The sequence below is a fragment of the Homo sapiens genome, chromosome 4, assembly GCF_000001405.40.
Source record: "Homo sapiens chromosome 4, GRCh38.p14 Primary Assembly".
Lineage (NCBI taxonomy): Eukaryota > Metazoa > Chordata > Mammalia > Primates > Hominidae > Homo > Homo sapiens.
In genome coordinates, this window is record NC_000004.12 from 116,107,618 (window position 1) to 116,127,710 (window position 20,093).

Below are 20,093 nucleotides of genomic sequence, written 5' to 3' on the forward strand. Positions count from 1 at the left end.
GTAGTACTATTAGCATTGTTATTATAGCTGCTATATATTAAGTGACTGTAAATCCCCAAGGGCATTAACAATTGACCATTTGTGGATAACAGGACTGACAGCAGAAGAATTTCTATAACTCTCACAGGGTTACAAAATTAATAAATTATTGAATCTGATTTTAAAATGTTATTTTGTTTGTTTTAATTTCAACTTTTATTCTAGATACAGGATTACACATGCGGATTTGTTACATCAGGGAATATTGCCTGATGCTGAGGTTTGGGGTAGGGATCCTGTTACTCAGATAGTGAGAATAATACCCGACAGGTAGTTTTTTTAACCCAACCCCTACTTCTTCCACTCTCTAGTAGTCCTCAGTGTCTATTGTTCTCATATTTATATCCATGTGTGCTCAAAAACTAGCTCACATTTGTAAGTGAGAAGATGTGGTATTTCGTTTTTTGTTCTTGCATTAAATTTGCTTGGGATTATGGCCTCCAGCTCCATCAATGTTGCTGCAAAGAACATGGTTTCATTTCTTTTTATGGCTGCATAGTATTCTGTGGTGTGTGTATACCATATTTTCTTTCAATCTACCATTAATAGGCACCTGAGTTGATTCCATCTTCGCTATTGTGAATAGTGCCGCAATTAACATACAAGTGCATGTTTCATTTACGTATTTTAGCACTTCATCCTTTTGTCTTCTATTTCAATCAATTTAAAATACTGTATACAAAGAAATATTTTATTGGCAGAACAAGTTTATACATAATCTTGGCATTAATTTTAAGCACAATATTTAATCATATTTTTCTGAATAATTGTTCCTAAAATTGTAATATTAATAATCATTCTTATAGATATAACTCTACCATTGATATATTTCATTTTTATAAAAGACATTAAATTGAATCTAGCCTAAAAGTGACATTCTATAGACTAGAGAAAGGTGGAGTAACTTACCAAAGTTCTGTGAATTATGGAAATGGAATACTCAGTCAGAGCCATGTAAACGATACTGAGATATGTTAGAACACTTTGTGGCTTTGCATTGCCGAGTCTGTCCTGCAGACTCTGGCCGAGTGACAGATAAAAGAAGTACACTGACACAGGTACACAAAGGTATTTTGTCTGACAGTGTGGCTAGGGGACCACACGGCTTAGCACCGCGGACAAAAGTGCTGCCCCCATAAGCTGGCCCCGCTCACATTTATTTAGTACAGACTTAATGACAAAGGCTTGGAGTGAACACAATTTGTGGGTAATAAACATTGTTGACCCCTCAAGTAGAGAGCAGTCCTGCACACGAATGATCAAAGGTTGGTTTCTGGAGACAGGAGTAAACAAATTTATCTATATAATTCCTTTACATTCCTTTGTTATCTGCCCTTTGCTTTCAGCCTCCACATAAGAGAATTTGGCTGCCTTCAGCTATAATTCTCTTCCAAAGCTTTTGCAAAGCCTCCTGGCCTTCCAAGAAGGTTTGCATCTTTCCCTATAACTTTTTCATATAACTTTTCCCACCACCCTGACCGATGTCCTACACACATATTCCTGAATTCTAAAGCAAACATAAAGAATTATACAATGCATGATGTAAAGCCCATATTTTTGCAGGACTATATAAATGAATTATTTTTTAAATTTAAAATGAATACTGGTTAGGTTTTTGTGTCTTATAAGTAAAGCAGCTGGAATGGCTATTGAAATATATAATTATAGTATACTTTTGTCAGGTATATTTAATTTACATTAACATTTACTAAATTTGTAATACCAGAGTATTAGTAAGTTATGTCACTCAAAATTCCCAGGAAAAAAGAAAACTTCAGGTCAATATCTCTGATGAAGACAAATAAAAAAATCCTCAACCAAATACTAGCGAACTGTATTCAGCAGTACATCAAAAAGTTAATACACCACAATCAAGTAAGCTTTATTCTTGTGATGCAAGACTGATTCAACATATGCTAATCAAAAATGTGATACATCGCATAAACAGAATTAAAAGCAAAACCATGATCAACTCAATAGATGCAGGGAAAAAGTTTTCTATAAAGTCTAACATCAACTCATGATAAAAAAAACTCTCAAGAAACTATGTATTGAAGGAATATATGTCAGAATAATAAAAGCCACTCATAAAAATTTCATAGCCATAAATGGGCAAAAGCTGGAAGCATTCCCCTTGAGAACTAGAACATGACAAAAATGCCCACTCTCATCACTCCTATTCAACACAGTACTGGAGCTCCTAGCCAAAGCAATCAGGCAAGAGAAAGAAGTAAAGACATCTAAATGGAAAAGAAAAAGCCAAGCTATCTCTCTCTTCTGAGAATATGATTCTATACATTGAAAATCCTAAAGATTCCACCATGTAATTCCTAGAACTGATAAACAATTTCAGTAAAGTTTTAGAATACAAAAATCAATGTAAAAAAATCAGGAGCATATCTATATACTAATACCAGCAAAGCTGAGAGTAAAGTCAAGAACATAATTCCCATAATTCCATTAATAATAGCCACAAATAAAATGAGATACCTAGGAATACAGGTAACCAAAGAAATGAAAAATTTCTACAAGGATTACACAAAACACTGCCAAAAGAACTCAAATATAACATAAATAAATGGGAAAACATCCCATGCTCATGGAATGGAATAATCAATATTATTAAAATAGCGATACTGCCTAAGCAGTCTACAGAGTCAACACTATTCCTATCAATCAACTAACACAATTTTTACACAGTTATAAAAAATCTATTCTAAAACTCACATGGAACCAAAAAGAGCCAAATAGCCAAAGCAATCCTAAGCAAAAAGAACAAAGCTAGAGGAATCATGTTACCCAACTTCAAACTGTACTATGAGGCTGTAAACAAAGCAGCATGGTACTGGTATAAAAACAGGCACATAGACCAATGGAACCAAATACAGAGTCCAGAAATAAAGCTGCATACCTACAAACTTATGATTTTCAACAGGGCTGACAAAAACAAGCAATAGGGAACAGATTATCTATTCAACAAATAGCTCTGGGATAACTGACTAGCTGTATGCAGAAGAATAAAAATGGACCTTAATTTTTCACTATATACAAAGGCTAACTCAAAATGAATCAAACATTAAATGTAAAACCTCAAAGTATAAAAATCCTTGAAGAAATCCTAGGAAACACCATTCTAGTCACCAGACTTAGCGAAGAAATTTTGGCTGAGTCGCCAAAAGCAATTGCAACAAAAACAAATGTTGACAAGAGGGACCTAATTAAACAAAAGCAATTCAGCACAGGGAAAGAAACTATAAACAGAGCAAAGAGCAAACCTACAGAATGGGAGAAAATATTCAAAAAGTATGCAACCTAATGTAAACAATATATACGGAATGTAAACAAATCAACATTCAAAAAGTAAATAATCCCATTAAAACAAGGGCAAAGTACATGTACAAGCCCTTCTCAAAAGAAAACATACAAGTTACCAACAAACATATTTTTTAAATGTTCATGACCACTAAGCATCAGATAAATGCAAATCAAAACCTCAATGAGATACCACCTCACCCAAGTTAATATGGCTATTTTTCAAAAGTCAGTAAAGAACAGATGCTGGCAAGGCTGCAGAGAAACAGTGTATACCTATACACTGTTGATGGGAATATAAATTAGTTCAGCCACTGTGGAAAGCAGTTTGGAAATTTCTCAAAGAATTTAAAACAGAATTGCCATTTGACCCAGCAATCTCATTACTGGGTATAAGGAAAATAGATCATTACACCAAAAAGGCACATGCAGTTGTACATTCATCACCACACTATTCACAATGGCAAAGATATGAAATCAACCTAGGTGCCCATCAATGGTGGCTTGGATAAAGAAAATGTGGTACATATATCCCATGGAATACTACACAACCATAAGAAAAAAATGAAATCATGTCCTTTGCAGCAATATAGATGGAGCTGGATGCCATAATATTATACTAAACGAATTAAAACAGGAACAGAAAACTATATCTTGCATGTCCTCACTTATAAGTGGAAGCTAAACATTGAACACACATGGACATAAACATAGGAATAACATACACTGCAAACTACTAGAGCAGAGAAGGAGAAAAGGATATGGGTTGGAAAACTACATATTAGGTATTATGCTCACTACCTGGGTGCAATATACATATGTAAGAAACATGCACATGTACCTCTTTTATCTAAAATAAAGTTAAATTTTTTAAAAAAAGAAATAAACCTTAAATTTATAATCAATTCATTTTGACAAGTGTACCAGCTCAATTTAAGAAGATAAATATTGATCTTTTCCACAAATTTTGTTCAGATAACAGGATATTCACCTGCCTAAAAATGAAGTTGGACCTTTTTGTCACACCTTACACACAAAAAAACTCAAAGTAAATTATACACACAACTGTAAAAGCTAACCTTATAAAATTATGAGTCATAAATATGGGAGTAAATCTGCATGACTTTGGTTAACGCAAAGCTTTCTTCCAAATGACATCAAGAGCATGACCAACAAAAACAATAACAATTTGATAAATTGAAACTCATCAAAATTAAAAAATTTTACTTCAAAGGATGCAACGAAGAAAATGAAAAAGAACAACCAATATTTGAAATTGTATTTAGCTAGGGGGAATTAAATCTAGAATATTTAGAAGATTCAACTCAATAAAAAAAAATGATCCATTAATAAAGGGGCAAAAGATGGAAATAGATATTTCTTCAGAGAAGTTAGAGTTACCACGTGACTAAGCAATTCACTTCTAGTTAAATTTCTAGAGAAGTTGAAATGTATGTCTACACAAAAATTCATACATGACTGTTTATAAGTATATTTATAATAACCAAAAAGTGGAAATATGCATTAGTTGATGCATAGATAAATAATAGGTATAATGTCTATTGTATGGATTAGTGTTTAAAATGATAAGTAATGATGAAATGATATATACCACAACATTGATGTGCCTTGTAAACATTATGGTAAATAAAAGAAACCAGTCCTCAAAATTCATAATTGTCTCATTCTGTTTATATGTAATGACTAAAATAGGCATATCTATAGTGACAGAAAGTTGCTAAGGTGAGGAAGGGGGATGACATAGGGTTAGTGATAATGTGTACTGGATTTTTTTTTTTTTTTGCCATGATGAAAATATTCCTAAGCTCATGGTGATGGTGGCTCAACTCCTTGAATATAACAAAAAACACTGAATTGTGTAAATGAGTGAAAAACATAGTAAGTACATTATATTTTAATATGGCCATGAAAATGAATGATATATAATGATACATAGTAAATATCAAAAGGAAAAATGTCTAACTCCATTTACTCCATTTGGGAACATCTGATACATTATCTTTCTGAGTTACTTACCTTTTTAAATTTTTTTTTCTTTTTTTTTTTTGAGGCGGAGTTTCACTCTGTCACTCAGGCTGGAGTGCAGTGACGCAATCTCAGCTCACTGCAACCTCTGCCTCCTGGGTTCAAGAGATTCTCCTGCCTCAGCCTCCCTAGTAGCTGGGATAGCTGGGATTACAGAGCCTGCCACCATGCCCGGCTAATGTTTTTGTATTTTTAATAGAGATAGGGCTTTGCCATGTTGGCCAGGCTGGTCTCAAACTCCTGACCTCAGGTGATACGCCTGCCTCAGCCTGCCAAAGTGGTAGGATTACAGGCATGAGCCACCACGCCCAGCCTACATTTTTAGTTTTTTTTTTTAAATTTAGTAATATGTGTAAGAGCTCTTTTCATATTATCATGAACAATTGTACTACCTAATTTTAGTGTCTACTCAGTATTACTTGCTATTTTATTTTAGCTGCAACACAAGCTCTGTAACAAGTGACTTGATTATGAATCTTTAGACTTCGCTCCAGACTTATACTGTTACTACAAATAGAAACTTTGTTCATGTGTGTATATGTGTAGGTAATATTTGTGGTCAAGTGTATTAGATGAATAAGTTTATTTACTCAAACTAAAAGATATATGGGATAATTCCCAGAAGATGACGGAGTACAACGCACCAAGAATCTGTCCTTCCAACCAGGAAAACTTGTAGTCAGACTCTGCTGTAATGTTTTTGAAACTCTGGAGTCTTTTGAGGCTTTCCATTTCCAGACTTGCATCATAAACTCAGGCTAATTTCAGTCAAATTTAGCTCAACACAGTTCCAGCTACTATACTTCCATGTTAGGCACAATAACCAGATAAAATAGACATTAAATCAAAAAGATTACAGGAGACAAAGAAATATATTGTATAATAATAAAAGGTTCCATACATAAAGAAATAAATATAAAAGTCACAAACATTTACACCATCATTACATGATGGCATCACTACATGAGGCCAAAATAATTTAACAGACCATCAAAATGTATAAAGCAAAACTGACAAATTGAGGGTGAAATACACAGGCCTACAATAACAGTTGGAAATTTCAGTATCTCACGCTCAATACTGAATAGAATAACTGAATAGAATATAAGAAAGCAAATAGAGAACTTTAGACATAAAACAGCAATATATATATATATATATACACATATATAAAATGTGTATACACATTTATATATACACATTATATGTGTATATATACTATGTATACACATATATATACATATATATATACACATATATAAAATATATATATATACACATATATAAAATGCTCTACCTAACAACAGCATACATATTTTTCTCAAGTGCAGTGGACATTTTCCAGGATAGATCTTATGCCAGGCCTCAAATTAAGTCTTGATAGATTTTTTTAAAAAACAGATATCACACAAAGTATGTTCTCCAATCACAATGGATGAAATTAGAAATCTGTAACAGAAGTAAAACTGGAAAATTTAAAAAACTGTGAAAATTAAACAGCACACTCTTTAACTACCAATTGATTAAAGAAGACATCACAAGGGAAATGAGAGATGAAGACAAATGAAAATACAAGCCACCAAAACTTATGGGACACATAAAAAGCAGTGCTCAGGGGGAAATTTATAGCTATAAATGCTTACATTAAAAAAATCTAAAATCAACAAGTTACCTTTACAACTTAAGAAATTAGAAAAAGAACAGCTTAAACCCAAAACAGAACGAAGGAGATAAATATTAGAACAGATAAAAAAAATAAGAGAAAAGAAAAACAATAGAGAAAATCAGTGAAACTAAAAGCTGTTTTACTTTGTTTTGCTTTTGCAAAGATTGACAAAACTGGAAAACCTTATTCAGATAGACTAAAGAAAAAAAACATATAGAGAAAAGACTAAATTACTATAATAAAAAATGAAAACCGGGACATTACTACTGATTCTATAGAAATAAAAAAAGACCATAAAGGAGTACTACAAACATCTATGTACCAAGTTCAATAAGCAAGATGAATAGACAAATTCCAAGAAATACAAAAGCTATTGAAATTAATCATAATGAAATAGAAAATGTGAATAGGCCTGTACCTAATAAGGAGATTGAGTCAGTAATTAAAAACCTCCCAACAAAGAAAAGCTCTAGGCCTCATAGCCTTACAGGTGAATTCTACCACACATTTAAAGAATACCTAACAAATCTTTCTCAAACTTTTTCAAACACTTGAATAGGAGGGAACACTTCCTAGTTTATTCTTTGAGGCCAGCATTACCTTGATACCAAAGCTGGAAAAAGATACTACATGAAAACTACAGACTAATATTTTTTTCATAAACATTGATGAAAAAAATCCTCAACAAAATAATAATAAACTAAGTTCAGCAGCATATTAAAAAGATGATACAACAAGACCAGGTGGGATATTTTTCCTGGAATGCAAGGGTGATTCAACATATTAAAATCAATTATTTCCTTGATAATTAGTGATGCTGAGCATTTTTTTTCATAAGTTTTTTGGCCATTTGAATGTCTTCTTTTGAGAATTGTCTGTTCATGTCCTTTGCCCACTTTTTGATGCAAATCAAAACCACACTGAGATACTACGTTACTCCTGCAAGAATGGCCATACTTTAAAATATCAACAAATAATAGATTTTGGCATGGATGTGGTGAAAATGGAACGGAACACTTTACACTGCTGGTGGGAATGTGAAAATGTGAACTAGTACAACCACTATGGAAAACAGTATGGAGATACCTGAAAGAACTAAAAGTAGAACTACCATTTGATTCAGCAATCCCACTACTGGGTATCTACCCGGAGGAAAATAAGTCATTATATGATAAAGACACTTGTACATGCATGTTTATAGTAGCACAATTCACAATTGCAAAAATATGAAACCAGCCTAAATGCTCATCAACCAATGAATGGATAAAAAATGTGATATATATATATATGAATAGTACTTAGCCATAAAAAGGAATGAAATAATACCATTTGCAGCAACCTAACTGAAGTAACTCAAAAATGGAAAATCAAACATCATATGTTTTCACATATAAGCAGCAGCTAGGCTGTAAGGATGCAAACGCATACAAATGATACAACGGACTTTGGGGACTTGGGGGAAAGAGTGAGAGAGAGTGAGGGATAAAATTTTACACATTGGGTACAGCGTATACTGCTTGAGTGATGGGTGAACCAAAATCTCAGAAATTACCACTAAAGAACTTTTCCATGCAACCAAACACCAGCTGTTCCCCAAAACTATTGAAATAAAAATAAAAATAACTAAAATCAATATAATGAACCACATTGAGATAAAAGAAAAAAAAGCACATGATCATTCCAATTGATGCAGAAAAAGCATTTAACAAAATGCAATAATTTTTCACAATAAAAAGCACTCAGAAAATTAGAAATATTATAAAACTACCTTATCATAATCAAATTCATATATGAAGATCCCACAGTTAACACTGTATTAGGCAATGGTGAAAAAATAAATGCCTTTTCTCTAACATCAGGATCAAAATAAGTCTGCCTGCTTTCATCACTTCTATTCAACATATTACCAAAAGTTATAGTCAAAGGAATTAACCAGAAAAAGAAAAGAGAAGAAATGGCATTTGAATTGAAAAGGAAAAAAGCAAAATTATCTCTGTTCACAGATGATATACTCTTAATTGTAGAAAATACTAAAGGCTTTACACATAAAAAAGAGCTAGTAAAAAAAGGTTCCACACATAAAAAAATAGAGCTAATAAAAAAATCCAGCAAAATAGCAGAATTCAAATCAACACATAAAAATCAGTTGCATTTCTACACACTAACAATAAACAATCTGAAAATAAAATGTAAAAACAATTATATTTGTAATTGCATTGAGAAGAATAAAATATTTAGAAATTAACTTATCCAAGGAGGTAAAAGATCTATACAGTGAAAACTAAAACTTTACTGAAAGAAATTAAACAAGTAAATCAGAATATCTCTTCCTCACAGATTGAAAGACTTCATATTGTTAAGATATCACTGTTACCCAAAGCAATCTACAGATTCAATGCAATCCCTATCAAAATCCCTTTTTTAGACATAAAAAAAACCCACCCAAAAACGTCTACAGAATCTCAACAGAACACAAATTATTCAAAATAATATTGAACAAAAAGAACAAAACTTGAGGACATATGCTTCTTGATTTCAAAAACTACTACAAATTTAGCAATTAACAGTGTGGTACTGGCATAAAGACAGAAATATAGACCAATATAAAAGAAATAAACTCTTGCATATAAGCCCAAATTATATTTGTCAATGATGTTAAGATTATTCAATGTGGAAAGTACTGTTTTTTTTCAGCAAATGGTACTGAAAAAATTAGATACCCACATGCAAAATAATAAAGTTGAAACCTTACCTAACACCATACACAGATATTGACTCAAAGTTGATGAAAGACCTAAATGTGAGACCTAAAACAATAAAACTCTTAAAGAAAACATAGGACAAAATTCATTACATTGAATTTATCAATGATGTCTTGGATAAGACACCAAAGAAACAGGCAACAAAGTAAAAAAAAAAAAAATTAAAAATTGGACGTCGTGAAAACTAAAAAAAAAGTGCATAAAATGCAGTATGAACAAAGTAAAAAAGCAACATACAGAAGAAAAGGAAATATTCACTGTTCATATATTTGATGAAGTTAATATTCATGTATAGAGGACCTAAAACTCAACAATAAAAATACAAACAATCTGATTCACAAATGGGCAAAGGAGGGGCCAGGCGCTGTGGCTCATGTCTGTAATTTGAGAACTTTGGAGGCCGAGGTGGGTGGATCACTTGAGGTCAGGAGTTCAAGACCAGCCTGGCCAACACGGTGAAACCCTGTCTCTACTAAAAATAATTAAATAGATAAATACAAAAATACAAAAATTAGCCAGGTGTGGTGGCGCACAGCTGTAATACCAGCTACTCAGGAGGCTGAGGCCCTAGAATAGCTTGGACCCAGGAGCCAGAGGTAGCAGTGAGCTGAGATCACGCCACTGTGCTTTCCAGCCGGGGTGACAGAACGAGACCTTGTCTCAAAAAATAAAATAAAATAAAATAAAAATAAAAATGGGCAAAGGACTTGAATACACATTTCCAAAGAAGACTCACATGTGGCAACAGGCACCTGAAAAGATGCTCAATTATAGGGTAAATGCAACTCAAAACTACAAGATGACACTTTACACTCATTAGGATGGCTACTATTTAAAACAAAAACAGAAACAGAAAATGTGCTGTAAAAAATGTGGAGACATTGAAACATGTGTGCACTGTTGGTGGTTATATAAATAGTGCATCCACTGTAAAAACAGTTGGGTGGTTCCTCAAAAAACCAAAGATAGAATTATCACGTAATCCAGCAATTCCTCTTCTGGGCATGTATCCAAAAGAAATGAAAGCAGGGTCTTCAAAACATATTTGCGTACCCACGTTCATGGCAGCATTACTCACAATAGCTAAACAATGGAAGCAACCCAAGGTGTTGATGGTGAGAGTGGAATAGATGAATAAAATGTGATATATACATATAATGGAATATTATTCACCCTTAAGAAGGAACAGATTCTGACATACACTATAACATGGATGAATCATGAGGACATTATTCTGAGTGAAATAAGTCAGACATAAAAAGACAAACAGTGTATGATTCCACTTATATGAGTTATTTAGAATTATCAAAACCATACAGGCAGAAAATAGATGGATTGATACCAGGAACTGGGGAGGAGAGGAAAATGGTGAGTTATTGCTAAATGGCTATAGAATTTCAGTTTTATTAGAGGAAAGGGTTATGGAGAAAAATGGTGATATGGTTGCACACTATGAATGTGTTTAAAACCAGAGAACTATATACTTAGAAATGCTTAACTAGTATATTTTATATTATGTGTATTTGCTTCAATAAAATATTGGGAAAATAACTTATGTGTGAACTTCTAAAATACTGCCAAATATTTTTAAAGAAATACCCTCAAATACTATCACAGTAACATGAGTGCCTGTGCACCTGTTTGTCTACAACCACAAGCTACTATTGGATAATTGCAATTCTTTGTTCCCAGCATTCATATCTTCCATCAACAAAGAAAAATACACATACAGTGTAGGAGAAGCAATTTATAATCACTGCAGAAGTCAGAACATAATACTCCAGATGGACTTGGACAAGTAGTATATCTCATTCATTTTACAGTGCTTTATTCCTGATGTGAAGATTATGTAATCAAAATCAGTAATGTTGGTGAAGTACTTCTTTCCCATTTCACAAGATTCCATAAAGAAACATTTTGCTAAACTTTCCTGGCCTCTTATTCCTCTAACCCTTTCTTCTATGAGTTAGTAAATTAAATAATTATGACTGGAAAGTGGAACTGGGCATTAGTTTCTCAGTCTCAATTTCCGTTCTCTTGAAAGTTGATTATCAGCAGATAATACATATTTTAATTTTTTTTCTCCATTATTTGATATTTAAGGGAAAGACAATGATGAGAGGAGGAATACCAATTTCTATAGCTGCCTATTTCTAGATAGATATTCCAGTTTAATTCTAGGGATTAAAATTGGAAAAATATATATATTTTTGCTCAGATACCTAATCTTCATTTTTATTTTTTTTAGTTGTGATACAACAGATATTATGGTAATTTCCAGTCTTCCTATTTTGTATTTTTTTAATTGACAACCAATATATTTTTAGTTGAAAGAATCAAATGTTACCAATGTTATGGAATATAACACAATGTGAAATATCTACAATGTAAAATAAATTAACAAATAAAACTCATATTATTCACTGCTAAACAGAAGTAATCCTCAATTATAGGCCATCTACCTACATTCAGAAAAAATTTAAATGTCACTGTTTGCATATGCAGACACAGAAAATTTGAATGGATCAATGCGCATAACAGAAAGAAAAATCTTTCCTCTCTAAGAGCCTAAGTATACAGGATTTCATTACTTACACCATACAAAACAGACAAGTAAGAATGGTTACCTAACGTATTTTATGACGCTAATACAAATTTAACTCCCATAATGGTTTATGAAAATGTTGGAACCAAAATTATAAAAATATTTAGCTAGTGAAGATAAAATATCTTGAATATAACATTTGTTGAATAAAAATATAAATAAGATAAAAATCATGAAAATATAAATTGATAGCAAAAATTCAAATATAGTTTAAAGCAGAAAATTCATCAGTAAAATTCAAAATGGAAATACAGTAATGAGAAAGCTGGGTTATGGCCTTAAAGGAGGGTAAGTTTTGATAAATAAATAAATATTTACATGTATATACACATATGCAGCAAAATACCCTTAATGGAGAAACTTTCATTTACTTTTCCTTTAAGTCTAAGAACAAAATAAGAATACCTGTAAAGTTACTAATCATAGTACCATTACACTAAAAATACAAAACAGAAAGCACTAACAGTTCAAAATTTATATAAAGAATTAATCATTTTTAAGAAATATGAAAGAAGATCTGAAAAACAGATAGCCCATGCTCCTGGATAGGAAAACATAATATAAAATTGTCAATTTCCTCAACTTAATATACACATTTAATAAATTAAAATTAATTTTTAATTTTGTGAGGACCTCAACAAACTACCCTATTCATTAGTAACCTAAACAAGCAAACATTTATTGTGTTTTCTGAGAGCTTCTCCCTTTCTAGTCTGAGCTTGACTGATTTTGGCAATTGTCTGGGATGGCATCCATCAGCTAAAATATCTTGGCTCTGCTATATGTGCTCTCTTATCATTTGTGACGCTAGAAAAAGCCTTGTTTTCACGTTCAAAAAAGGAGAAAAAAGCAGGCTGTAATGTGCAAGTCCGCCTGATTCTGAGGCTCTGAATTGGCACATTTTTATATCTGTTTCATTCTGGTGGCCAAAGCAAGTCACAAAGTAATCCTAGAGTCAAGAAATAGAAAAATAAGCTCCAAAATCTTAAATTAAGAAGGCGCAAAGTCATTTTACAATGGCTGTAGTTTCAAGGAGGGAAATAATTGGAGGAAATTTTCTGATTAATCGGCCATAAAGGGAATAATAAAAGTTTGTAAATAGTAAAATAAAATATGAACAAAAATAGCAAATGCAGGGGATTTATACTACCTGATAGCAAAATAATATACAATTCCATCATAGTAATACTTACGATTATTCTTACTAGCTCAAAAATACACAAATAGATGAATGTAAGCAAAATGGAGAATTCTGAAATAGATTATATATGTCATATATGTAATTGAGGTTTTATAAATTTAGCATTACATATTAACAAATTATAAACTGGTGCATGTTCTTAGAAAACAGTATGCCTTTATGCAGAAAAATAAAACAAGGAAATATGTATATTTAACAAAAACCATACACAAAGGTAGATACCGGATGTTTTAAATAAGTTAATTGAAAATACAAATACTAATTGGCTTATCAGTCCAATGAGGGATGAGAAGGACACCAGAATTACCTTTTGAGACAGGAATAGCACTGAGTAGTCACAGGAGGATGGAAAAACACAAACAACAGCTAAAATGAGAAGTAAGCAAAGAAACTACAAGATAACAGAAAACCCAAAATATGCAAGAGAAAATGGCCAAAATTGTGGTCAGGGGGACATCTCCATGACTGTTCCAGAAAAATCAAAACAAGGAAGAAAGTGGTCAGGAATGGGGGTCATGAAATCCCCTGCTTTTCCAGAATAACTAATGATTATTATACCCCCAAATTAAAGAAATACTCTAAAATAGGAATGCTTGGTGGTCACAGGGGAGGCAGGAAAATATCAAGCTGTAATTTCAGAAAACAATAAGAAACGAGCTGTTAAAATTAGCTACGAGGACAAGGAAGAGACTGATTGACAAGACTCTAACAGAAAGGACAGGAGCTGAGCTGATTGAGACAAGCTAGGTCCATTATGGCCCTTGATATGACCCATGCCCTACCTCAGACCTAATTACACACTAAATCAGAAACTCACCAGTGCCATGACAGATCTCAGCATGGCCATATTTTGTTTAAAAATGGGTGACACCTCAATTCTAATAAAACTTCACTTTTTTTCCTAGAAAACCTCATGGTTACTCTATCCCCTGGTTAGAAGAGCCCATAAAATTAGAAACCCAAACTCCATTATGCACTACTCACGCCTCCAAGTATGCCCACACTCTGCTCTTGAGTGTGAATGGGTTTTGTACTCAATGTGTACTTTTGCTTGGCAATAAAAGCTTGTTGCCTTTTGCTTCATTCTGACTCATCTCTGAATTCTTTCTCTGGATACTGGCTGGGGGTGGTGTCTCACTGGCATCTGGAGACACTCTTGAGCTCTCCAGCAACATTTTGATAAAATGTTTACCTGCTTTGTGAATTCATTATTGTTCAGATAACCTGTATGGTTTGTTCTTGCTTTAAATCTAAGTCTGTGTCTATTAACATTTTATTCTCTATCATTATCATTGTCTCACTTTTGTCATGGTTGGCTATTTGAAAGTACACTTTATAAGTTCTCCTTGTAAGTATTAGTAAAAACATTTTACAACAAAGTTAAAAAGCAGGCTACACATCACTCCATATTTTGAATGCTTAATAATATATCGGTATCATTTATCTGACATATTTACATTGAAAATGTGACTATTAAACAGTGGTTAAAATCCAACAAACTATCCCTATGACATGTATTTGAATCTTCAGTTTAATAATGATGGTAAGTAAAACGTTTTATTGTTAACCACAAATATATACGGAACTTTCAGCAACCTCCATTGTTGCCTCCTCAGAAGAAAGAATGCGACTGAGGGGCATAAGGCAGAAAGAGGGACCAAGGCAAGTTTTAGAGAAGGAGTGAAAGTTTATTAAAAAGTTTTAGGTCAGGAATGAAAGGAATAATGCATGCTTTAAAGAGGGCCAAGCAGGTGACTTGAGAGATCAAGTACACAGTTTGACCTTTTGACTCGGGGTTTTATATATTGGCATGCTTCCAGGTTCTCGACTTACTTCTCCTCTGATTCTTCATTTGGGGTGGGCTATCTGCATGCGCAGTGGCCTGCCCGCACTTGGGAGGGGCTGTATGCATGGTGCATTTACCGAAATTGTGCAAATGCTCACTTGAGGAGTTCCCTTACCAGTCAGGTGATTTTAGAGGAAGGTCATATACTAGTTAAATTCCACCATTTTGCCTCTTAGTGCACATGCTTGAGCTCTCTCACCAAGCTCCTGGGGTCTTACTGGGAAGCTGCTGATCAACACTATCAGGGTTTTTTTTCTATTTTTTGAAAGACTACCTTTCCCTGGCACTGGCTGTGACGAATTCTTATTTTAGAGAGACAATTTAATAACTGCCTAACCATCACCTGATGGTTACCTGACATTTCTGGTGGGGAGGCTGTCTCCTGTTTTGTTCATGTCTGCCTGAATATGTACTGTAACATTATTACTGGTAAGTAATATTTAAAAACATATAGATGCAAAAAATTTCGGCTCTAGTATTCCATTCCATTATATACTCATGTGAGAGTGTAAAAGTGTTTACACAAGAATATTTTGTAATACTTTATTAGTAGAAATTCTATAAATAATGTGCCCAAGCTAAATATATATATTAATATAGAAAACATCCCCTATATACTCATACATATATTTATGAAGAAATATGAGTCCAAAATAACGTGGTATGTCTGTATTAACAGGTAAGAAAATATGTTCAAATATGTTCAAGTGTAATAAGACAATAAACAAGTTACAATGATGTAAGTATAGTATGTAGTTACTTGTAGTAATTGATACTAACATTAGTTAGTTAACAATAGTTCTACTGAGTAAATAGAAAATACCAGGAGTAGCTTTCACTGTTTTTTTTTTTCTTTTGCTTTATCAACTTTATTCTCTGACAGATCTGGAGGCCAAATGTAAAATCGAGTTGTTGGTGGAGTTGCACTCCCTGTGCAGTCTTTCAGGGAAAACCTGTTCCTTGTTTTTTGCAGCTCCTGGTGGTTGTGAACATTCCTTGCCTGTGGCTGAAACTATTTCTCTGTTTTGTCTTCACATCATCTTCTCTAGGGTGTCCTTTGTGTCTTTTATAAGGACACTATATAAATGTCTATAGCAATGACTGCTATGGAAGTTACATAAAAACAGACTTGATTTTTTTAATTGCATGAATAACCAAAATAGTTATTTTTAATTTTAATATATTTTTTAAATTAGGACATGGTTATTTTAATTTTAAATCATTAGTAATACGAGATGTGTAATTAGTTGATATTTAACGGGAAGTGTTAAAATTCTTGAAGATACATTTATTTTGAAAACTGGATAGGATTTTATAATATTCAAATAACACACATGATTCACCTGTTCAAATTACAAGCAGAAGGAGGGAAAATACATGGATTCATATATTTGAGGCAAATGTAAATTATGAGCTTCATATATGCAACGTGTGTATTTCTTCTTTTCCCTAAGAAAGAAGAAATGTACACATTAAGTATATATTTATGGCTACATGGTAAATTAATAGAATGAGAAATGAAGTCTTGAGGTGAATAACATTTACTTCTATGACTAGATCTTAAACAAATTGAGCAAAGGGTGTAATATACGAAAATCAATGTGTCCCATATATCCCCGTTTGACAAAGGATAGTGTAAAAAAGGAGTGTCAGGCCATGGACACTCATTCAAACAGTCCATTTGGGATTCCATGTGTATTGTGGCTTCAAAATTTAAATACTGCAACCTTTTTCCAAATGGATACATGGTTTTCAAATGTGTGGCACGTATGTATATGAATGTGTGTCCAGAAATAAAATAATATATATTAGTTCTTACAATAATATGTAAGAATAAATTTCTGCTTTTTGAATTACCTCTTTCAAAGTCATCAAATAACTCCATTCTAATAAACTAGGAATATTAATGAAGCTAAACATTATAATTATTCTGTTATATAAATTATAACATTGTTTTTACTTTATCACTATTTCTGTTACTTATCTCTTTTGAAACCATTACAGGCTTTGATTAGGTTTCTAAAACATATTTAAACTGTTTTTATACTTACCAGTTTTTTACAAAGACCTCTTTATTGACAATATTTTATTTTTTGCTTGGTTGGATTTTGTTCTTGAGTTCTTACTTTTAACCTGGGTTCATGGAAACAATGTTATCTGCATATTTTCGTGCTTCAGAAAATTTAAATACACCTTTGAAGAAAATAAAATTTATTGAATATAATTTTTCTTTATGTTTTAGATTTTGATGTATTTTTTGGAGGCAGATAATTGTATGATATAGAAAAAAGAAAATACCGTATTTTTTCCCCTGAATTTGACTTATTTTTATCTTTAGAACTTAGAATTATGGTTAGTAGTGAAGGTTCAATGTTAAGCCTAGGATAAAAATCAGTGACAATCTTTCTATATTTCTCGAGACATATTTATCAGATTCTACTCAAAATTTGATGACAGCATTCTTTCTGTTTTTAGGGTTTCTTGTTTTTGTTGTTATTTTCTTGCTATTATTTGTTTCTCTTCAATTTTTATGTTTGCTCTATAGAAACAGCATGCACATACATTGGAATATTTTTGGGTAATCGAATATATTTTTATGTATGAAATTATGTATAAGTTTTTACAATTATTTATTCAACATAATTTCTCATGATGCCATTATTTGTCTCTACTTTTGTTTTTGCTGTGATTCAGAAAGGAGAGTAAATCGACTGCTGTTACATTTGCATATTTAACTGGATATTTTCTGTGCTCATTGATAGAAAGTGCTATTTTACCACTTATTTTATGTTTTTATAGATTTTTATTTAATAACAGCTGATTTTTAAATTGAAATAAATTTGGTTTTAATTTTTAAAGCAGTGATTCCAACATTACATATTCTATTGGGAATGATGCACATCTGAACAACCCTTCATCATCTTGGGGCACAGTCTGAAATCTTAGAAATCAGTTTCACTTTCCTAAGTATAGGACTGGCAAACCCTAAAATCACCACTACTTCTATTGCAATCATTGGGTAGTGCAGTGAGAATGACTGTAGCTGGAGAATTTCATTAAATTGGGTTCTGTCAGGAGACAGAAAACACATCAGTAATTTGAATTGGACATTTTAATATAAAGTTATCTTAATTGGTAAAAGAGGGTGGGTTAAAGAGAAACATAAAAAATAAGGAAATAGTAGATATAGGATCAGCCACTGTATACTGGCTGAGGCAGAGGGCACAGGAAGAAATGGACTTGGAATAGATTCTTCACATCTCATTGAAAGGGTTGTGACTATGTTCCTGTGGATGGCTGAGAAGCTGAATGAGGTACTGTAAGCTTTGGACAGCAAGAAGTGTCTCAGCTGGGTGAGACTGTTTGGGAGCAAGGTTTTGATTAAAGTTCCTGGGAAGCGCTGTCTACTGAAGTGTCCATTAATCTTGCTGACAAACCACCAATGAGTATGTCACTGACACTTGGTGAAGGGTAAGGACCACTACATGTTTTATACCCAGCTGGTTATCACAGGCCATAACAGCAAGAAGGAAACAGCACGCTGGAGTATAAAGAGAAGACCCTCCCTTCAGCGAAATTTACTGATAAAGATTAGCATTATGTCAGCAGCAAATGAGAAATATTTAGAGGGTACTGTTTCAGTATTACAATGCAAGCCAAAGAAGGTGAATTTGGAGTTTAGCCTCAACAAACTGATAACTGGCTCAGAAAACAAAAATGCTATCAGGACATGCACATACCTCTTGATATGGTTTGGCTATGCTCGCACCCAAACCTCATCTTGAATTATAGCTCTCATAATTCCCACATGTTGTGGGAGGGACCCAGTGGGAGATAATTGAATCATGGGGGTGGTTTCCACCATACTTTTCATGTGGTAGAGAACAAGTCTCATGAGATCTGATGCTTTAATAAGGGGTTTCCCCTTTCACTTGGCTCTCATTCGCTCTTACCTGCCACCATTTAAGACACTCCTTTCACCTTCCACCATGACTCTGAGGCCTCTCCAGCCATGTGGAACTGTGAGTCTATCATACCTCTTTTTCTTGATAAATTACCCAGTCTCAGGTATGTCTTTATCAGCAGCATAAAAACAGACTAATACACCTCTTAAAGTAACAAGGCTCATAATTGTTATAATCAGGAAGCTTCTCCAGAAACATGGTTTCATCTGGGTCTCGTCTTTGAATCTGAGTTCTTACTTTTATTTAAGTTTTCTTTTCATTGACTTATGTTCTATAAGAGTAACAGAGTAGTTCTCCTTCTTCCCTGAACTACAGTCTTCCTCAGGGGGAGCTTGGGAAAAATACAATTGCTGTAGTTCCACCATCTTATTCAGCTTTACATAGTGACACTAACAGATACCTATTTCTGTGTGAGTGACAAATAAAAGAGATGTACAGAACAACACTTACATGAGAAATTAACAATATAGCATATTTTATATTAACATACATTAACCTGAAAAAAATTAAATTATTTATTATTTGCTAGTATTCCTGTAATTTCCCACAGATTAAGGGTTCTCCTTAGAAAGTTTTTTCAACTTATTACCATTCTATAGTAATGATATTTTTACTCTTCGGTACTTTGAGGATGTTGCTTCATAGTATTTA